Raw genomic sequence first — 23,608 nt, forward strand, 5'->3', positions numbered from 1 at the left:
TGTTCAAATGATAATATTTTCAATTGATGATTGACTTATCAGAATTATCTCCCTTGTAATTCAGGGAGCACCTGTACTTTCAATACCTTACCCAAGAAACTTTCCCCTGTGGGGAAAACAAGACTGTGTTCCCTTGACATATTCCAGAAAACCACTGTGGTCATCTTTTCTCCTCTGAAGTTTGAAATGTGCGTAAAATGTCCATAAAATCCAGCTGACTTTTATTTGTTTTTAACAAAGTTGGCTTCCAGCCTAAGTCTGGCCTCAGAATGAAGCTGCTTTGGGACCCCTCCCACTAGTAGATTCAGAATCAAACTGTTTCCTATCCGCGTTCATTGCACCTGCTCCGGGGACTCTGCCTGTTGTCAGATATGAAATATACAAACAAATCTCACTTCAAGGTGTCTTGTTTCCGTGGATTATTTTTAGTTGGAATAAGCACCTGCTTCTGCTTTTTGCATTTCTTCAGCACTAGTGTATCTCCCGTCACTCCTTTCTTTCTCCCTGTCTCCATTTTCCTTTTTCTGGATTTACTGATGAAGGAGTTGAAGGTCCTCCCAATGAGTGTTGAAGGTCGCTCATTTTTTTAAGTGCATGAAGAGTAAATACTGAGTTTCATCTGGTTCTAAAAGAGGCATTCATGGGTGAGTTCATAGCAACACTTTCTGTCTATTGAAATGACATCCCAGTGGCAGAAGGTGCATTTGTCGGTTTCATCACCATATCATCTCTTGGGCACCATGGCTATGGTGCTTTCTTTTGGTGCCCTTTGCCTTGGCATGTTGTCTGTGAAGGAGCCTGGCATTGCAGTTCCCCCCTTGATCTCCAACAGGCATTTAGGGGCAGTACACTCCACCCACATCCCTGCTGGCTCCAGAGTCCACTGAAGATATAGTGCTTGGTTCATTGGATGGATAGCTATTCCCTTCACTTCGGCTACCTTAAACATAAATATAAGTAGCTTGTATTTATATAATGATTTAAAGATTTTTACATATATTACTTCATATACTTTTTATAAACTCTGTGAAGTATGGGAGTTTAATGGAAGCATTTTTTAGCTGTGGAAACTGAGCCTTGGGTTATGCAATATACTAGCAATTAGTGGCGACTGATTCACACCTAAGTGTTTCAGCTTCTTTCCTCTATTCCTTTCTAAATGACCATTTATTTTTGTGACAGAACTCCTACGCTTAAAGACTTTTTCCTTGAGGTCAGCCAAATGCTTTCAGGCATTCAATTGTACTTTGCAGGCCCGGGCACTCAAAGCTAATTGTATGTGTTGACACATGCGTACCCAGGATGGCATGGGCAATGAGCCCAGACCTGTCCCCAAACTCTTCTCCGTCCCTGGCAGCCGGCGTCAGTTTCCATTCAGCCACTGCATGCTCCTGTGTGCCCCAGAGCAGGAACAGCAGCAGGGTGGGAGGAGGGAGCTGCAGGCCGAGCGAGTCCTTATCCTGAATGTCATTCCACTGCCTACAGGATGAGAGCCACGCTCCTTGGCAAGGAAGCCCAGCCCTCCACTAGCCAGTCCTAACTTCTTTCTCCAAACTCACCATCTGCCAGCCTTGCTCCCTATCTCCCTGCTGCCAAACATGCCTCTGACACCAGCCGAGCTTCTTTATACCTCTGTGTCATTGCACGTGCTGCCCTGTGGCAGGGCATGGTGTTGTTCGCCCACAGGCCTTCCTCTCCTTCCTTGCCATGGTCACTGTGGAGGAAGTAGCCCACCCTCCTGGCCCACTGATGTTGGAACTGGCCATACCACTTGTGCTGGCCAAGGAGATGGTGACAGGAGGGACAGTGCTGGTTCAGGGCCAAGCCCTTAAGAGGGATGCAGGTTTCTGCTCACTTCTCTTGCGCTTCTCCATCTATCATGAGGAGAACATGCTCTGAGTAACCGCTGACCTCCAAACCTGGAGCCAGGAGGAGCACAGCTGAAGACAGTCCGCAGCCTGAAGCCAAGTCCAGTTGAGCCCAATAATGCCCAGCTAGCCCGTGGACCAGAAGCTAGAAACAAATGCTTGCTGTTAAAACCACGGATTTTTGGGGGTCATTTATGACAAACCTTATTGCATAGTAAATGTTAACTACTTATTTATTGCATTCCCCAGGTGCATGCAAATGTGCGGACACACCCTTATAAAATTGTTTCCCACCTGAAAAAGCTTCTACTGATTTTCCAAGACTGAATTCAAGGAAAGAATACCCTGAGGTAAAGTTTAAACCTTGTTTAAATGAAATGTTAGCAGCTGATTAGTTTAAGCTAAACAGCAGGGCCGGGCTTAGGAAGGGGCAGAGAGAGCAGTTCTCAAAGACACGTGAAGTCAGGAGCCATCCACCCCAACTTCGCTGAGGAGCCAGGTCAGGACGCTGGCATTGACAAACGTGCTCCTACTGAAAGGACTGTAATGACCCATTTGCTTCTACATCAAGATGCCCTGCAGCCCAGACTTCCACAGCCAGCCTCCTGGCTTAAGCCTTTCAAGGTTACCATCATGAACATTTAGTAGAGAAAGTATGATACGTTGCAGTGTCTCAGAGAGATTCATTAAGCCACAACTAGTGAGCAGCTACTTTCGTATGAATTGATTTGTGAACTAGCATAACACAGGGCCCTGATAGAAAGGGAAGAGGTGGATACATTTGGATGGGGCAAGACAGGGAGCAAAGAGTTCCTGCTGGGGGTCGTGCCCACCTGAGACTGCAAAGGGTTGAGCAGTGCTTATGGGGAATCCAGGGCAAATGGGGGCCTGGATCAAAGGCCCTGCAGGTGGGATACCAAATAGAAATCGGGGAGAACGAAACTGTGAAGAAACTTACTTTTTAAATGAGGAATATCCCCTGGGCTATCAGTGAAAAAAAGGGACTGTATAACCAGTCCCTGGGCTTGGTGGATCCTGCCCTGGCCATGGGCCATAAACTTGCTTCTGTTTCTCCAGGAAACATACACACAGCTAATCTTTTCTGCCAGGTTCAACTTCCTCTTGGTTTGTTAACTTTGACTTCTAGATAGTAATGTAGCTGGGCAATTTTTTTCTTTTTTTTTTTTTTTTTTTTGAGACAGAGTCTCGCTCTGTCCCCCAGGCTGGAGTGCAGTGGCGCAATCTCGGCTCGCTGCAAGCTCCGCCTCCCATGTTCACGCCATTCTCCTGCCTCAGCCTCCCTAGTGAGTAGCTGGGACTACAGGCACCCGCCACCACAGCCAGCTAATTTTTTTGTGTGTTTTTAGTAGAGATGGGGTTTCAGCTGGGCAATTTCAAATAGAGGCCTTGTCTGTTTTGAGGGCTAAGATCCAACTTTGCATTATTAACATATATTTATGTGTGTGTGTATATGTGTACATATATGTACGTGTATATATGTGTATTATGTATGTATGTATATTTTTCTCTGATAACTTAATGCTGCCTTTGAGGGCACAGGCCCCAGCTCCCTGGTATTTGTGCTACAGAACTCTGGCAGGCACCCAGGGACTTGGCTGGCCAGAGGACCAGGAGCATGTGGGACCAGTGCCTGGGGCTCCCAGCCAGGTTTTCAGCCCTTGCCATGCTGCCTTCTATACTGACCCCTTGCCCTTTGCAGAATGCCTGTGGGTTTGAGAACGTCCCAGGGGACTTGCTGTTAGCCGCTTCCAGCTGGTGACATCTAAAGGCTTGGAGGCCATGGCTCCATAGGCAGCATGCCCAGAACACTTACCAACAAGAGTGCACCCAGAGGCTGCAGTTTCGGCTCTAGATGGGGTCCTCTTGTCCTGCCATGCCCATGTGTCCCAAGCAGGCATGTGAGGGAAAAGAGAGTCAGAATCCCTTCTGCACTGATGGGCTCTCAAGAGGTATTATATGTACTTGCATAGAGAGGGCCAGTGGGGATTTAGAATCAGCCAAACAGAACTGGGTTTGAACCCCAGCCCCCTGATGACACATGTGTGACCTGGTGAGGTGGCCTGGCCTCTCTGGACCATAGTCCTCACAGGAAACATGTTTGCACCTGCATTGGACCTGCTTCCCGGGGTGCTGGCCGGCCAGGGGCTCAGCCTAGGTGTTCAGTGATGTCTGTCTCGGTATCATCACTGCCTGACTGCCATGGTCTGCAGGCGGGGTGGGGCAGGGCTAGGAAGGGTCCATGGCTGGGACCAGCTCCAATGTTGATGAGCGTTTCCTTTATAAGAGGTGCTGAGCAAGCACTGTCCTCATCCAATCCTCCCAACAAACTTGGGAGTTTGGTTTGTTAATCCCCAGGTCACAACCAAGGAAGTCACCTCTCACGAAGGCCACTCAGCTGATGGACAGAGTCAGGCCTACATCTGGCCTCCCTGATCTGCTTCCCCAGGAGTCCAAAGACCCAGATGTCCTCCACATTAGCTCATTTCCCACCGCACTGCACTTTGTCATCCACACCAAAGTCAGGTGGAGTTAATTCCCTGCTAAACTCATCCTTGGCTCTGCAAGATGAATGCCGAACCCTTAGCCTAGGCCAGGAGGGGAACCCTTCACACACCGGGGGCCGCAGCTCCAGCTCAGCCCCCAACACCCATCAATGCACACAGGCTATTTGACCCCCTTGACAGCTCCCAGGCAGCCCACACTTGTGTCTGTGCACGTGTGCTGCTGCATCTTCCAGGGACCATGCTTCTCCTCTAACGCCTTGTGTAAGTGTGACCTCTCTGGGGAAGGTCTGCCTCATCCCCTGGGGAGACACACTTGCTCCCTCATCTGGGCCCTCTTGGCATGGTGTTCATTCTCCACTGCATAGCGCTATCATTGATCAGTTTGCATGTATGCTAGGAGCTCCTAACCAGTATTTATTGGACCTCTGCAAGCCTGGGAATCTGTAAGTGCTGAACTCCATGCAGGCAGGGCTGTCTCAGCCACCTGCTGCCTGGGTGGCTCTGGGCAGGCCCTTCAACTCTGTGCTCAGGATCCTCATTTGCACAATCAGCTAAAAGTAGCATTTTGTTCCTAAGGTTTTTATAAAAATTAAATTAGTTAATATAGATGAGGTGCTTAGAATAATGTTTGGCTCACAGTAAGTAAAAGCTAATAAAGATTGACTACTATTATTATACTCAGTAAATATTAAATTAATACATGAAAATAGCACAAATGGAAGCCCAATTTAGCCTTTTGCCCTTCACAGACCGCAGGTTCCCTTTCTTCCGTATCTATAAAAAACTTTCTGGACAAAGTAGTTACTCAACATTTATTAAATACAAAGAATAAATTAGTTTAAATATCACAGAAAAGAAGGATGCTAAACCCCACACCGCCACTTACTGGAAGATATCATGCACTCAAACCATAGGCTATTACTAAACTTCAGTTTGTCTTTAAATAAAAATTCTTGGGGGGACAGAGTCTTGCTCTACTAGAGCTAGAGTACAGTGGCATGATCATAGCTCACTGTAGCCTCAAATTTCTGGGCTGAAGTGACCCTCTGCCTTGACCTCTGAGGAGCTGGCATGCACCATCACACCTGGCTGACTTAAAAATAAATTTTTTTTAAGAGATGGGGTCTTGCTATGTTGCCCAGGCTGACCTCAAGCAATCCTCCAACCTCAGCCTCCCAAAGCACTGGGATTACAGGTATGAGCACCATACCCAGCTTAAAATTTTTTATTTCTAACTGACAATCAAGAACTTGCACTGGAACAACTAGCAGGGAGCGCTGCCCCTTCAAGATATTTCTTACTTGTTTTAGCCAAATTGGTTTCAGTTTGGGTGAGATTAGATTTTCAGTTGTTTTTTAGTAATGTAGACACACATTACTATATGCTTATTTATATCCTCTGACTTTGAGTGTTCTCAAGGGTTCTAGTCACAGAGTCATCTAGTCTTTAGGAAAAAAAGAGACCAGAAGGGCATTAACATATATTTAGTTCTGACCATGTGCCAGGCATGGACCTCTGGGTTCAAATGGCCTCATCTAGGATATGGGATAAGTAAGAACAGAACGGTTAAGTATGTGTGATGAAATTTAAGTATTTCTGGAATCTATAATGCAACAAACCGATATCCCCTATTCTCTTACCCTATCCATTTGTGCACTCATTCTTGCCACAGCTGTGTCAGGTATCTATGCCATAATACAGCTGGGCACCTCAGGGGGACCAGGAGAGCAACATTAACCTCTAAGTTCCAAGCAGTTTATATTTGAGATTAATGCTAAGGCAAGTTCACAAATAGTATAATGGGCAATGTAGGACATATGAACTAAGACATTCCACGGTTCCAAAATGTAGCCATACTTACACTTTTAAAATTTAGGGATAAATTCTGCAATTTGCGTGGAAGTATAAGGTACATGGACATTTGCATCTTCTGTACAGTTATTTGTTGTGAGAACGAGAGAGGTCTATCTTATGATAATTAGCATATTGAATGTTTATTACACTAGTTATTGAAAAAGAATCTCTTAGTATTTTTGCTTTGCTCCTCAAGTTTAGTAGGGAAAAAAGTAAAATGAAAACAAGATAACACACACAATAAGAAGAATACAAATTCATTTCTTATGATTGTTAGTAGTAGACATAAATTTCAAAAAATGCATTTGCAAGCAGTATAGTTGATGTTTCAGAAACTATTGGAATGATAAGCCAATAGGTTTTATAATTGTATATAAAAATTATGAAAACTTGTGTTAGTTTGAAGGCAACCACAGGTATTATTTAAATGCATAATTCCTTTGGCAAAGTAGGTATAATCTAGCTGAATCATACTCTCTAGACCATCTGCTATTCTGTTTCCCCCTAAAAGGCTTAGGGTAAAGTAAGCCTTTCATTGTGCTATGTCCTTATGTGAAAAGGTATTAAACAAATTATATTGACCTGATGGGAACCAACAAGTAAAAGCTGGTTATATAAAATAGGCAGCTATTTTGGAGTCTTTAAAAAAACAAACAAACAAAAAAAAAAAAAACCAAAGGAAAACCAACTCTGCCATCTGGTGTAAAAACAGATTATTACAACTTCTTTCTTCAAACAAAGCATAGTGGCTATTCCAGTTATTCCTTATTTATCATTGATTATCATGATGTGGTGAGAATTTTGAGCGAGTGTTCCCCCTCTCCCTCCTTGGGTAACTAAAGCTTGATGTACATATATTTTAAATTGTTTATGGGAATATTTCTAAAATAATTACTAATTTACTGCCTTATTAAGTGAGAGATAATGAACCCAATTACATCTTTCCTTGATGATGCAGCGTGCTGACTGTATTGGTCCATTCTCTGTTGCTATACCAGAATACCACAGGCTGGGTAGCTTATAAGGAAAAGAAGTTTCTTTAGCTCATGGTTCTGGAGGTTGGAAGGTCCGAGAGCATGGCACCAGCATCTGGCGAGGGCCTTTCTGCTGTCTCATGACATGCGGGAGGCATCCCATGGCAAGACAGGGCAAGCGTGCATGTCAGCACAAGACTCTCTTTCTCTTCCTATAAAGCCACAAGTCCCTTCATGGGGATGCACCCTGATGACCTTATCTACTAATATTTCCCTTTAATGCTAAAAGATACCATCTTCAAATTCCATCAACATATGAATTCGGAGATTAAGTTTCCAACACATAAAATTTAGGGGACACAGCCAAGCGCGGTGACTCACGCCTGTAATCCCAGCATTTTGGGAGTCCGAGGCAGACAGATCACTTGAGGTCAGGAGTTTGAGACCATCCTGGCCAACGTGGTGAAACCCTGTCTCTATTAAAAAAAAAAAATTAGCTGGGCATGGTGCTGGGTGCCTGTAGTCCCAGCTACTCAGGAGGCTGAGGCAGGAGAATTGCTTGAACCCATGAGACAGAGGCTGCAGTGAGCCAAGACTGTGCCACTGCTCTCCAGTCTCCAGAGAACAAGACTCTGCCTCAAAAAAAAAAAAAAAAAAAAAAAAAGAAGAAGAAGAAGACTTACGCCTTCTCTTACGCCTGTAATCCCAGCACTTTGGGAGGCCGAGGCGGGTGGATCACCTGAGGTCAGGAGTTCAAGATCAGCCTGACCAATATGGAGGAACCCCATCTCTACTAAAAATACAAAATTAGCCGGGTGTGGTGACGCATGCCTGTAATCCCAGCTACTCGGGAGGCTGAGGCAGGAGAATTTCGTGAACCTGGGAGGTGGAGGTTACAGTGAGCCGAGATTGCACCATTGCACTCCAGCCTGGGCAACAAGAGCAAAACTCTGTCTCAAAACAAAACAAAACGAAAAACCAAGAAAACATTTAGGGACACATTCAAACAATACCACTCATTATGAGCATTAATTAGCTTACTTTCTCTGTAATAGATAACAGCGATAACCTCAGGGTTAAACAATACTTTCGTCAAGCCTAACTGACCTCATGGATTGTACTTTTTTAGCTTGCAACACACAGTGTTTAAATTTCTGCTCAGTATGGCATTACTGCCTGCTGTGGAAGCTGGCCAGGAATCTGGGTCAAGGTGACCAGAAACCCGGTTGCAGAAACCTGAAGCTACAAGGCAGAGATGGGTTTCACTGCAAACAGGTGGCCTCCAGATGCAGCAGCAGACCGTAAAAGTAGAGCAGAAAGTCAACAGGTCAAATTGGCAGGGAACTCTCATGGGACAAACTCAAGGAAGAGGCCAAAAGAATAAAAACTAAGGGGAGGCCGGGCACAGTGGCTCATGCCTATCATTCCAGCACTTTGGGAGGCCGAGGCGGGTGGATCGTTTGAGATCAGGAGTTCAAGACCAGCCTGGCCAACATGGCAAAACCCCGTCTCTACCAAAAATACAAAAAAATCAGCCAGGCGTGGTGGTGTGCACCTGTAATCCCAGCTACTAGGGAGGCTGAGGCAGGAGACTCAGTTGAGCCTGGGAGGCGGAGGTTGTAGTGAGCCAAGATCGCACCACTGCACTCCAATCTGGGCAGAGAAAATGAGACCCTGTCTAAAAAAAAAAAAAAGAGGAGAGTTGAAGGGAGACAAGAGAACTATGTGATGGTCTAAGCACTGTTGCCCAGACAAGATTCTACATCTTTCTTCACTGTGGCTCCAGCTCACCCCTACTGAGTTCATTCCAAATCTTGGTGCTTCATTCATCACTAGTATCACAGCAGAGCCCAAACTTCAGTAGGAATAATAATCAGCTGGAGGGCAGATCACAGAAGGATCCAAGATGCGCCTGCATGTCTTCATTTTTAAAATAAAACCCACAGATGACCTTGATCCAGGTGGTACGAAGGCCCCAATTTGAGAAACAAAATCAACTCCTAAAATTCTATAATCAAAGTTGTTTGCCACATGCCAGAGTTGAACAAATAACAGATCTGGAACATATAAGTTGTGTGTTGTTTACTTTACTACTGACCTTTCTTTACCTAGAACCCTTTCCCATAAACCTTATTAATATAGAGAGTTTCATTAACATTGTTGAGGACATATTTATTTGAAACATTTTTTAAAATAAAGTAGATGGCCGGATGCGGTGGCTCATGCCTGTAATCCCAGCATTTTGGGACGCTGAGGCAGGTGGATCAAGAGGTCAGGAGTTCAAGATCAGCCTGGCCAATATGGTGAAACCCTGTCTCTACTAAAATGACAAAAATTAGTCAGGCGTGGTGGCACATGCCTGTAGTTCCAGCTACTCGGGAGGCCGAGGCAGGAGAATCGCTGGAACCTGGGAGGCGGAGGTTGCAGTAAGCTGAGATGGCGCCACTGCACTCCGGCCTGGGAGACAGAGCAAGACTCCGTCTCAAAAAAAAAAAATTAAAAAATTTTAAAAAATAAAGTAGATAAACAGTGTAATATTTTTCTCCCAACAAAACAACAATGTGAAATTTTATTACTAAATACTCTGACACTAGGGGTAAATTTGTAATTCCAGAGTACTGGAATCAATTCAAGCATTAAGAGCTTACTGCCTGATAAATATTCAGTTTTGGAATCTTTGCAGTGCCTGCTTATAATTTTCCCTTAGCCTATGAAACATGTTTTTGCTCATTTCACCTATCTAGACTCTAAATTTTATTTTACGAACTTTTCAAATTTCTTTTAAAATTGTTTATTTTATCATTGTATAAAATCTTCAAATGACAATGTAGAGTGATTTTTTCCAAATATTTTTCTTTCTTTTTTGGAGACAGAGTCTCGATCTGTCGCCCAGGCTGGAGTGCAGTGGCACAATCTCCGCTCACTGCAAGCTCCGCCTCCCGGGTTCACGCCATTCTCCTGCCTCAGACTCCCTGAGTAGCTGGGACTACAAGCGCCCGCCACCACGCCCGGCTAATTTTTTGTATTTTTTGCGGAGACGGGGTTTCACCGTGTTAGCCAGGATGGTCTCGATCTCCTGACCTCGTGATCCACCTGCCTCGGCCTCCCAAAGTGCTGGGATTACAGGCGTGAGCCACCACGCCCAGCCCAAATATTTTTCTATACATACTCCATGTAAAGAGAAAGAGAAATCATTAGTTTTTTTCCTCAATAATTATTTGTAAGTAATTAACAGAAGTAGGCCTTAAAGTGAATTTAATTTACTGTTTTTATTTCTTAAAGTGAAATTTTGCTATAATTCCTAAAATTTGTAACTACAGGTAGGGTGATCATGCATTCCAGTTTTTCCAGGATAATCATAGTGATGGCAGTGGCAGCCCATCTGGAGTGGCTGCTGCGGGCAGGCCAGCTGCAGCAGGAGAGGTGTGACTGGGGCTGCATGCTCTGGGGAGTTGGTGGGGGCTGGGAACAGGTGATCCCAGAGGGAGCCCCGCATCCTACCAAGTTGGCTGGTCAGGAGCCCATGCTCCCAGGCAGAACTGCAGCCACCCAGCTGCAGCTCTGGACCTGGGCATCTCTGTGCTCTCAGGAGCCTGGAAAGATCCCTGCCCCTACAGGCTCAGAGGTGCCTGCTCCCACTCCCCAGCCTCTCCCCACTCCTGGTGCCCACTCCAGTGTGGAGCAAAGTTATAGCTGAGCCCAGGGGCTGTCGCAACCCAAGCTGCATGTGTGCGTGCTTAGGGTGGCACTGACATGCCAGCTCTTCCACCACTTTGGCCCCCTCTAAACTTTGGGGGCCAACGAGCTCAGGGAGGTGGGGAGGGCTGAGGGTGGCTTGTCGCAGGCCTGTGGGTACCCCTCAGCACGGACAGCATGGGTACCGCTAACAGCATGTTGATGGTGGTGGGAGGCAGACAGGTTCCTGGGCAAGGAGTGGGACCTCGCCCCACCTTCAAGTCAGGAACAGCCTGAAGCCTGGGGGCCTTATTGCCAGTTCTGGGTGGAGCCCACAACCTGGAGTGAGAACTTCATTGATGCCTTTCGGACAATCCAATGGTGCTTTTTCCATGTCCACCCATGTCTGCACATGGACCAATCAGCATGCACTTCCTCATTACAAGCCCATAAAAAAACCCAGATTCAGTCAGACTCAGACGCTCACTGGGACGACCTGCTTGTGGAAAGGAGCTACCTACTTTGGGTCTCTTGAGAGCTGTTCTGTCACTTAGTAAAGCTCCTCCCTGCCTTGCTCACCGTCCAGTTGTCCATATAGCCTCATTCTTCCTGGATGTGGGACAAGAACTTAGGACTCACTGAACAGCAGGAGCAAAGGGAGCTGTAACACGTTCCTGGCCAGCTTGCTGAGCTGTGGGTGGTGACATACCCCTGGACTACAAGAGTGAAGACTGGAAACCCTTCTGGGGGCCTAGACCTTGGGGTTCCCTGAGCCAGAGCTGCTGTAACACTTTAGCCCTTCCACCCTCCACGGGCGCCAGGTAGCCGCCCCACATGGCAGGAAGCAGTGGTGGGGCTGAGCCAGCCCAGAAGCTGCAAGCCAGAACAGGGCGGGCGGTGGGACTGAAAGTGCTATAACACAAATGGGCTGAAACCCTCTAAACATGCCGGCTCGCCCCCCGCCCTCCACAACGTGCTTACCACATTGCAGGCAGGCAGCCAGGAGAAAAGAGTTGAGGCCCGTCCTTCTGGGGGCCCAGACCTCGGGGCTCCCTGAGCCTGGGCTCTGACACAATGTAACAACATCTTCGGGGCTCTGCAGTTCCTGGCGTCTCCAAGTTTTAGGCGCCACCACGTTCCCCGGTGCCCACAGCAGAAGCCACTTGCGGTACACCTGGTCCAGACACAGCCTCACACAGAGCCAGTGGCTGTGCTGCTGCCTGGAGCTGCCCACCCCACTGCAGCCAATGTGCCTGGCTGTGCACAGTGACCGGACCCTGAGTTCACTCATGCACATACCCTTTGCCACCCTGCTCCCGGCTTGCCCTTGACAAGCGTGGGATCTGGATCGGTAGCGTGAGCCAATCACAGCCTGCTGGGTTGAGTGGGTGGAACGAACCCAGCAGGTGCGAGCAAAACTCAAGCAGAGGCGCCGCCGGCCACAGAGGTTTCGACTGTCCAAGCGACACCCTAAGGATCCTGTGACATTCATTTATACCTATTTTTTTCTGGTGTATCCTATTTACTTAATGGCCCTTTTACTCTCAAAAGTATATTGCTTTGGATGATAAATAATATGTTTATCCTAATATTAGGCAAATAATATCAACTCACAAATAAATAGTATTATGTCTTCAGATTCAACAAAACTTCACTTTTCTTGTCAGAAAAAATGTTATTTTTTTTAAATGCAACAGCTTAAGTTAAGCACATCTTTTAAAAAAACAGATGCTTCTTTCTATATAATTTTGAAAATAGTATTCTAAAGTGCAATTTTTGTAAAAATTTCACTTTTGGCAGTTTTCACACACAACCCCCTTACTAGAACCCTCTAGCTCTGGAAAACCAGGAAAATTGGAGTTAACAAAAATAAGTTTGAAAACAATACTGAACTACCAGGCAGCAAGAACTTAAGAAGCCACTTTTCCAGGCAAAAATGTCCAGAAAGGTAAGTGATCTTTGCCTCTACTTTTGCACCACAAGATATCTGGATTTTCCAAAGTGGAAGCTGATAAGGTGTGCACAGCTGGGGGAGTCTCAGATGGCTGGAGAGACAAAAGTCAGAGCTCAGGAATCACCAAAAAGGAAGGCCAGGTAAGCATTCCGGGTTTTCAGTTGGGATCTCTGAAAGGCTGCACCCTGGGAAAAATCATGAATCTAAACCAGATATGAGCTTCTAAAAAGCCCAGATTTGAATCAAACTAAATTTAAGAGATATAGTAAGATTCTCCCACCCCAGCTGCCTGTCAGAAGCAAACGTAAATTCTCTTGTGGAAGATAATATCATCCAGAGTCTCAAATTATCTCCATGAATTTTCTTACCCAATGTCTCACATTCAATTAAAGATAACCAGGCATAGAAAACAAGACACAATGAACATAAAATCAAGAAAATGTATAGACAATATATCCAGATATTGGATTTATCAGATATAAACTTCAAAATGACTGTGATAAGTTCAATACGTTTAACAAAAAGTTGAAGAAATTCATCAAGAAACTGAAAAATTCAAAAATTCAAATAGATATTCTAGAACTGAAAACAGTAAACAAAATTAAGACCTAAACAAAAGGGTTTAAGAGCAGAAATGAGTTAGGAAATTGAAGTATAGATAATTGAAAAATAACTAGATTGAAGCATCTCCATGCTTATCTTTCAAGCTAAAAAAAAAATACAGAAAATAGCTTAAGGCATATGTAGGGCATAGTGAAAAGTTCTAACCATACGACGTATTTGAGTCCCAAAAGGAAAAGAGAGGGAAAATGAGGTTGAAGCAATCTAAAAAGATTAATGGTGGGGAACTTTTTAAAAGGACAAAACACTACACCAAAGATTTAAGAAGTGCTACAAACGCTAAATAAGATAATTTCTTTTCTTAAAAAAAAATACACACTTATACTGTCACAGAATTGTTAAAAGGTTTTAAAAATTGAAAGCAGCCAGATGAAGAATAGACATATTTTCTTCAAAGGAGCAACAACAAGGCTGGGAGATGACTTTTTAACAGAAATAATGGAAGCCAGAGGATAATGGTTTCAAAAAGATGAAAGAAAATAACCCCCAATATAGAGTTCTATATCTAGCGGAATTAACCTTCAAAATAATGACAAATAAAATACACTTTCAAATAAAAACTCAAAATTTCAACAGCAAACTGCTCTAAGGTATTAAGTTTGATTGTGTTGTCATATATATATAACACTGAAATCAGAAATGGAAGATTATGCTTTCTTTTTTCAAGGGCACATGAAACATTTACCAAAATTGACTGTAAGCTGGGACACAAAACATGTTTCAACAAAGTTCAGAAGATTAAAAACATACAAATACATTATCTGAAAACAGTACCACTAAGCTCAAAAGCAACAATACAGCAGTAATTATTTTTTCTTGTTTAGAAATTAAGTGATGCATTGCTATATAAGCCATTGATCAAACGCAAATCACAATGGAAATTACAAAGTATTTTTAACCGAATAAAAATATTTATATTGATACTTGTGGGATTTGGCTAATGCCAAAATTAAAGGGACATATACAGCTTTAAATGAATACCCCAGAAAAGAAGCAAGGCTAACAACCAATGACCTAAGCACTAATCTCAGGAGTTTTACTTGGGTTTATTTTTAAAATGCATGGTTTGTTTAGTGGTTAAAAAAAAATCATAATAAACTAGGACTTGAAGCAGTTTTTCTTAACTCAATAAAATATATAACCCATATACGTTTATTTTATTTTATTTTACTTATTTATTTATTTATTTTATTATACTTTAAGTTCTAGGGTACATGTGCACAACACGCAGGTTTGTTACATATGCATACATGTGCCATGTTAGTGTGCTGCACCCGTTAACTCGTTATTTAGCATTAGGTATATCTCCTAACGCTATCCCTCCCCCCTACCCCCATCCCCCAGCAGGCCCTGGTGTGTGATGTTCCCCACCCTGTGTCCATGTGTTCTCATTGTTCAGTTCCCACCTATAAGTGAAAACATGCAGTGTTTGGTTTTCTGTCCTTGTGATAGTTTGCTCAGAATGATGGTTTCCAGCTTCATCCATGTTCCTGTAAAGGACATGAACTCATCCTTTTTTATGGCTGCATAGTATTCCATGGTGTATGTGTGTCACATTTTCTTAATCCAGTCTATCACTGATGGACATTTGGGTTGGTTCCAAGTTTTTGCTATTGTGAATAGTGCCACAATAAGCATACATGTGCATGTGTCTTTATAGCAGCATGATTTATAATCCTTTGGGTATATGCCCAGTAATGGGATGGCTGGATCAAATGGTATTTCTAGTTCTAGATACTTGAGGAATTGTCACACTGTCTTCCACAATGGTTGAACTAGTTTACAGTCCCACCAACAGTGTAAAAGCATTCTTATTTCTCCACATCCTCTCCAGCACCTGTTGTTTCCTGACTTTTTAATGATCGCCATTCTAACTGGTGTGAGATGTGTATAACCCATATACATTTTATCATAAAATAATCCCATTTATAATTGCATACAAATATTCTTTAAAAATCTATCAATAATAAATAAATAGAATTTGCAAGAGAAATTAAAGACCTAGTGTGCATGCAAACACACCACACACACACACACACACAGGCACACACACAGCAAGCATATTTATGATAAAATATTGAAAGCTTTCCCCTTAAGACTGAGAAAAAGACAAGATGTCTGCTATCAAAAACCCTATTCAACCTTGTGGTGAATATCCTGGCCATTGGTCTAAGGAAAAAAAGGATAAGGATTGCAAATAAAGATATAAAATTCATGTTATTCAGAAATTACAAGATTGTGAATTTTAAAAATCCAAACAAATTCTATAGAAAAACCACTAGAATTTAGAATTTAGGAAAATTGCTGGAAACAAGGTAAATATAACAGATTAATTTTATTTGTATGTACCAGTATCAATTAGAAGATAAACATTTAAAAATGATCTCATGTATAATAGCATCAAAAATACTTTTTAATCTACCAATAATAAATAAATAAAATTTGCAAGAGAAATTAAAGAAGACCTAGTTAAATAGCAAGACATACCATATTAATGGATATAGGAAATCTCAATTTGTCAAGGCATCAAATGTCAATTCTCCCCAAATTTATAGATTTAATGCAATACAATCTCTCAGCAGGTGTGTGTGTGTGTGTGTGTAAATTGAAAAGCTGAACCTAAAATTTATGGAAATACCTGGGAAATAAATGTTTAGAAAAATACAAAAAACAAAGGTGAAAGATATACATTATCAGATATCAAGACCTATAATTAAGCTAGAGTAATTAAGACAATATAATACCAATGCAAAGATTAACAAATAGTCTGTGAAAAAGAATAGAGAATCTAGACATAGATTCAAACATAAATGAATGCTTTATTACTGTCATATGTGTTTATGACTAAGGAGTACTGGGGAAAGAATAGTCTTTTTAACCTTATGTATTTATTTTATTTTGAGACAGAGTCTCACTCTGTTGCCCAGGTTGAAGTGCAGTGGTATGATCTCGGCTCATTGTGGCCTACCTCTGTAGCCCAAGTGATCCACCTGCCTCAGCCTCCTAAGTAGTTGGAACTACAGGCACATTCCACCACACCTGGCTAACTTATTTTTTATTTTTTTGATAGAGACAGAATCCGTATGTTGCCCAGGTTGATCTTGAGTTCCTGGGCTTAAGTGATCCTCCCACATCAGCCTCCCAAAATGCTGAGATCACAGGCATGAGCCACTTTGCCTGGCCAGGATGGTCTTTTTATAAGTCGTGCTGGGTCAATTGGATATGATAAAATAAAACCTTACTCTTACATCATTCCATATACAAAAATTAACTTTTATAGTAAAAAACATAAAGATTCTGGAAGATAATATAGGAGAATATATCCATAAATTTGGGATATTAAGAAAATTCTGAATCCAGACACAGAAAATACTATCCACAAAGGAAAATATTTACAAACTGAACTATATTAAAATTAGAAACTTCTTTCCAACACAAAATACCATTAAGAGTGTGAAAAGGTAAGCCATAGAGCAAGAAAAGACAGTTGCAACTTTTTTCTATCTCTAAACTCCTACAAATTATTTTTTTTAAAGAGAAAACACATAAAAGAGTATATTCAAATGCTCAGTAAAGTTAGGAAAAGATCAACTTCATCATTCATCAGAAAAATGTAAATCAAACTTCAGAAAAGAAGCTATATCCTGATGATAATGATTTAAAATAATAACAATACAAAAGATGGTTATTACCACACGTTGACTGGGAAGAAGAGCAAATAGCCAGGCGCGGTGGCTCATGCCTGTAATCCCAGCACTTTGGGAGGCTGAAGCGGGCGGATCACCTGAGGTCAGGAGTTCGAGACCAGCTTGGCCAACATGGTGAAACCCCATCTCTATGAAAAATACAAAAATTAGACGGGCGTGGTGGCAAGTGCCTGTAGTCCCAGCTCAGGCGGCTGAGGCAGGAGAATCTCTTGAACCTGGGGGACAGAGGTTGCAGTGAGCCGAGATCACACCACTGCACTCCAGGCTGGGCGATAGAGTGAGACTCTGTCTGAAAAAAACAAAACGAAACGAAACAAAACAAAAACCTCTTGTGCTCTCATTGGGAGTGTAATCAGCACAACTACTTTGTAAATGAATGAATTGCTACCATACACAACAACATTAATGAACCTAGCAAACCTGGTATTGAGCAAAAGGAGGTAGGCACAAAAGAACACTGACTTGTGCGATTCCCTCTATATAAAGTTCACAACCCAGCAAAACTGCTTTATGGTGTACAGTCAAGATGTGGCTGTACAAGATGTGGCTTCCTTCAGGAAGGAGGGGATTTGTACCTGGGATTGGACATGAGAGGGATTCAGTGATGCTAATAATGTTCTACTTTTTGATCTGGGTGGTGGTTACAGAGGAAAGTATACTTTGTGCTGTGCACTTGTCTGTATGTCCATTTATAGTTCAGTGGAGAGCTTCGACTCAAAAAACAAAAATTGTAGAGAACAACCAGAGTCAAGAGACAGCCTATGGAATGAGAGAAAATATTCTCGTACCGTATATGTGTTAAGGGGTTAATATCCAAAGTACATACAGACCCCAAACAGCTCAATAGCCAGAAAACAAATAACCTGATTAAAAATGGGTAAAGGACCTGAAAAGTCATTTCTCAAGACAGGACATAGAAATGGCCAACAGGTATGTGAAAAAATGCTTAACATAACTAATCACCAAGGAAATGCAAATCAAAACCATGATGAGATATCACCTGACACCTGTTAGGATGGCTATTTTTAAAAATAAGAAAGATAAGTGTTGGCAAGGATGTGGAGAAAAGAGAACACGTGTACACTGTTGGTGGGAATGTAAATTAGTACAGCCATTATGGAAAACTATTTGGAGATTCCTCATAAAATTAAAAATAGAACTACCATATGAACCAACAATACCAATCCTAGGTGTGTGTTCATAGAAAATGAGATCAATATATCAAAGACCTATCTGCATTCCCATATTCATCGTAGCATTATTCACAATAACAAAGCTATGGAATACGGAATAAGCCCACGTGGCTCTAAGTGGATGAACAGATAAGGAAAATGTGGTACATATACACAATGGGAAACTATTCAGCCTTAAAAAAGAAGGGAACTCTGTCATTTGCAACAACATGGACAAACTGGGAAATATTAGGTGAAATGAAGTAAGCCAGGCACAAAAATACCACATGATCTCACTTATATGTGGAATCTAAAAAGTCGAACTCGTAGAAGCAGAGAGTAAAGTGGTGGTTACCAGAGGTAGGGTGGTAGAAGGATTGAGGAAAGGTTGGTGAAAAGATTAAAAATTTTCAGTTACACAGGAGGAATAAGTTTAGATCTATTGTACAACATGGTGATTATAGTTAATAACAATATGCTATTATTATATATATCATGTACTTGAAAATTGCTAAGAGAGTAGATTTCAAATGCTCTCACCAAAAAATAAGTATATAAGGTAATATATATGTTAATTAGCTTGATTTAGCCATCCCACAATGTGTACGTAGATCAAAACATCATGTTATACACCATAAATACATACAACTTTTACTTGTCAATTAAAAAATTGAAAATTAAAAAAATTTGAAAACTTTTAAGTAAATTGTTGGTATACCAGAAGAAGGTGAAATTACTTCATTAATGTAATTCCTCCAAGTGTGTGCTATTTACCAAAATACACACTGCTCTTAATATCCTGAAAAGCTGGATGTTGCTATTAAGTGCCATATGTTTTCTTATAATTCATTAAGGCTATAGTTTTTTTATATTGTATTGTAGGCTATTAAACTGTTTACTCTTTTTTTTTTTTTTTTTTTTTTGAGACGGAGTCTCGCTGTTGCCCAGGCTGGAGTGCAGTGGCCCGATCTCGGCTCACTGCAGGCTCCGCCCCCCAGGGTTCACGCCATTCTCCTGCCTCAGCCTCTCGAGTAGCTGGGACTACAGGCACCCGCCACCTCACCCGGCTAATTTTTTTTTGTATTTTTAGTAGAGACGGGGTTTCACCGTGTTAGCCAGGATGGTCTCGATCTCCTGACCTCGTGATCCGCCCGCCTCGGCCTCCCAAAGTGCTGAGATTACAGGCGTGAGCCACCGTGCCCGGCCTAAACTGTTTACTCTTAAAGAAGTCCAGCAACAAAACGAAAAATTGTAGACTTTCTGCTGTTGGGTTAGGAAACAAAACACATGAGAAACTTACCAATGCACTCCCAAATTGGAGTCAAAAGGTGTTTATTTTTTACCCCTTCCAAACCTGCTGCTCTTGCTGTTTTATTCCAGTGAATGGCACTGCCTCCATCTGGTTTTCAAGCAAGGACTGAGAGTTTTCTGTGATGGTCTCCCTTTTCCTCAACCTACAACACTCAGTTAATCCTGTCTTCCCGTCTTCTTTTTTGAAAAAATTTATTTTGGCTGGGCACGATGGCTCATGCCTGTAATCCCAGCACTTTGGGAGGCTGAGGCTGGCGAATCACGAGGTCAGGAGTTCGAGACCAGCCTGGACAACATGGTGAAACCCTGTCTCTACTAAAAGTACAAAAAATTAGCTGGGCATGGTGGCAGACGCCTGTAATCCCAGCTACTCAGGAGGCAGAGGCAGGAAAATCACTTGAACCCGACAGGCGGAGGTTGCAGTGAGCCAAAATCATAATACTGTACTTCAGCCTGGGCGACAGTGCAAGACTCCATCTCAAAAAAACAATTACTTTATTATGTATTTATTTATTTATGTTTGAGACAGAGTCTTGCTCTGTCACTGGGGCTGGAGTGCAGTGGCACGATCTCGGCTTACTGCAACCTCCGCCTCTTGGACTCAAGAATTCTCCTGCCTTAGCCTCCCAAGTAGCTGGGACTACGAGTGTACACCACCATGATGGACTAATTATTTATTTATTGTATTTTTAGTAGAGACAGGGTTTCACCATGTTGGCCAGGCTGGTCTCAAACTCCTGACCTCAAGTGATCCGCCTGCTTCTGCCTCCCAATGTGCTGGGATTACAGGCATGAGCCACCATGCCTGGCCAATCGTGTCTTCTTGTATTCTCCCTCTCAAATTCACTTACATCTCTCCACGCCCTCCACCTCATCCATAATCAGGTCACCGCCATCAGCTTCAAGGGGGTTCCTGCATTAGCCTCCAACCTCCAGTCCTGCCTCTGCTATCCACTCTCCCTTGAACCCTTGAGCACCCACTGGGCTCTTTGACGTCACCTCTGTTGAACACTTCTGTGGCTCTTCAGCCAGCCTGTAGGATGGGGTCAAAACTTCTTTTTTTTTTTTTTTTTATTATACTTTAAGTTTTAGGGTACATGTGCACATTGTGCAGCTTAGTTACATATGTATACATGTGCCATGCTGGTGTGCTGCACCCATTAACTCGTCATCTAGCATTAGGTATATCTCCCAGTGCTATCCCTCCCCCCTCCCCCCACCCCACAACAGTCCCCAGAGTGTGATATTCCCCTTCCTGTGTCCATGTGATCTCATTGTCCAATTCCCACCTATGAGTGAGAATATGCGGTGTTTGTTTTTTTGTTCTTGCGATAGTTTACTGAGAATGATGATTTCCAATTTCATCCATGTCCCTACAGAGGACATGAACTCATCATTTTTTATGGCTGCGTAGTATTCCATGATGTATATGTGCCACATTTTCTTTGAAAACTGGCACAAGACAGGGATGCCCTCTCTCACCACTCCTATTCAACATAGTGTTGGAAGTTCTGGTCAAAACTTCTTAACAAGGCTTAAGCGACCTTTCCTGACTTCCCCCTTGCCTCCACCCTGTTCCCACCCAGCTCAGGCTCACTGCAAACCTGGTGAGCTCCTACAGTCTTCCAAAGCTCCAGACTCTGCACATGCCCTTCCTCTTCTCTGAAACAGTCTTTCCTAATCATCTCAAGACCCAAGTGAGCATCCCTCCTAGGACCTCCAGGATGTCACCCTATCCTTCCCCCACCACAGCACACATCACACTTTCTAGTAACTGAGTGTTTGCTTATGTGAGCACAGGGACTGTGTCTGTGTGTTCATTGCTCTGTGCCTGTGCCCAGCGCAGTGGCTGACATGTGGTACCTCCTTGACGTGGCATCCAGTGAGTCCAGTGTTTGATAATATCTGTTAAAGAAGAGCTTGGCAAGTGGAAGAGTATGAATTGTGTCCCCGCACCACTCCAATTCATATGTTGATGTCCTAATCCCCCAGTAATTGAGAATGAGACTTTATTTGGAAATAGGGTTAGAGTAGATGCAATTAGTTACTATGTGATGAGGGGGTACCAAGGTGGCTCCTATTTCAAGATGACTGGTGTCCTTATAAAAAGGGAACATTGAGACATGAACAGGAACACAGAGAGAACACCATATGAGCACCAAAGATTGCCAGCAAACCACCAGAAGCTGGGGGAGAGGTCTGGACAGACGCCTTGCCCAGCCCTTAGAAGGACTTAAGCCTGTGCACACCTTGCCTTTGATCTTCCAGCCTCCAGATCTGAGACAGTAAGTTCCTGATGTCTCAGCCACTCAGTTCGTGGTATTGTACTACAGCAGTACTAGGAAACTAACACAGATAGGAAAGGGAATGATGATCAAAGGAACTCTGAAGCAATTACTAGTTTTTCTTTTTGTCTTCCCCATGCACAGCTGCTGAAAGCCGCATTTTAAACCTGAGAGCCTGTCAGGACACACAGAGGCATCCATGGAAAGCCTGTTTTGCGTGTGAACAGCTGGGAGCTGGCCCATGCTTCTTCAGTTCTGTGCTTTTTGGTCTACAGACTGATTTCTGTCATACTGAAGCAATCCTCACAATGTTCACAAGAATTCTGGACAGAAATACAATTATAATTGAGCATGAATCAGGCTGCTCTTTGACCCACTTCCTTGTAACTAAAAGTCATGTAGCACTAGATACTGACCATTCGCTAGATATCAACCACTCGCTAGATACCGACCACTCGCTAGATACTGACCATTCGCATCCCCACTGTTCCCATAGATAGCATCTCTGATGTTAGAATCAGAAGGCTTTTGTTTAAGAATTGCTTAGGCAGATCCTGAATTCTGGTGGAACAGCTGATGCCAACCAGTTTGAAGAGCCCCACAGAGGAACTGAACTGGCATGAGAATACAATGGCTTCCTCTCCCCATCCCATGACTTCACCTTGTACTCTTGACCAATCAACAATCTCCACACTTCATGCTACTCCAACCCTTTAAAACCCTCCTAGGGGAGATGGATTTGAAGTCTCCCCGTCTCCTCGTTCAACGGTGCTACAATTAAACCTTTCTCTCTGCTGCAACCCAGTGTTTCGGTGTATCGACTTGCCATGCGTCAGGCAATGGATCTATATGAAGAGGCATTCTTCAGACCTCCAGACACTGGCTAACCAGCATTTACTGTAAATCAAGAGGTTTACACTTGCCAACTGAAAACGCAGGTTGAAGAAATGGAGCTGAATTCCAGGTAAGCTGCAGTCAGGTTGAGGCAGCACAGTGGAAACTGTAGGCTATGCCCAGGGCTTTACACACCATCTCACTTAACCTCCCCAGCATTCCTCATTATCAAAGGATAGTTTGCTTCTCAGCTGCTCTGTAGTTAAGGACCAAATTCTCAAGCATCCCTACTTACAGTGGGCATGACGTTGAGCTTTCTTAGTAGGGCCTCGCCTGCTGATCACTTCCCTGCAGCTCCCTCGACACTATGCCAGCAGCTCCAGGCCTCCAACCCACAGCAACACCACGTGTCCTCTGCAAGCCTGTTAACACTCTCTGCTTGCCCAGCACTTGTGGACCAGCTTTGACCCAGGCAATCCGGCGAACTTCTGTGTCATCCAGGAGTGGCAAGCACACCTTCTCTCTCTTCCAAGTTCACCTTGCTCGGGCATGCTCCTGCAGCCTCAGGAATCATAGAGGGATTTTGTTACAGGTATTTACTTGCTTAAAAGAACTAAATAATTCACTGCTGTTTAAATTATTGTGTAGTCCCATTTCCATCCCTGGCTGGACCCAGACTCATACACACAGGAAAGTGGGGATGGCTGTATATTCATTTTGAGATGAGAAAACTGACATGCTGAGAAATCAACAGATTTGGTAAAAAACACACAGCTATGGTTATTTCTGCAACCCGAGCCCTCCCTCTGCTGCAGGGCTACCTGGCAC

General features: G+C 43.2%; 1 long non-coding RNA gene across 1 annotated transcript; it reads left to right on the plus strand.

Moving 5' to 3' along the window:
• Nucleotides 1-2,123: 2,123 nt before the first annotated feature.
• Nucleotides 2,124-22,746, plus strand: LOC105375311 (uncharacterized). Its single transcript, XR_001739625.2, has 3 exons — nt 2,124-2,218; nt 12,880-12,990; nt 22,091-22,746. It is a non-coding gene; the product is annotated as an uncharacterized LOC105375311 (long non-coding RNA).
• Nucleotides 22,747-23,608: the final 862 nt, after the last annotated feature.

The sequence above is a fragment of the Homo sapiens genome, chromosome 2 (assembly GCF_000001405.40).
Source record: "Homo sapiens chromosome 2, GRCh38.p14 Primary Assembly".
NCBI classification, from domain to species: Eukaryota; Metazoa; Chordata; class Mammalia; order Primates; family Hominidae; genus Homo; species Homo sapiens.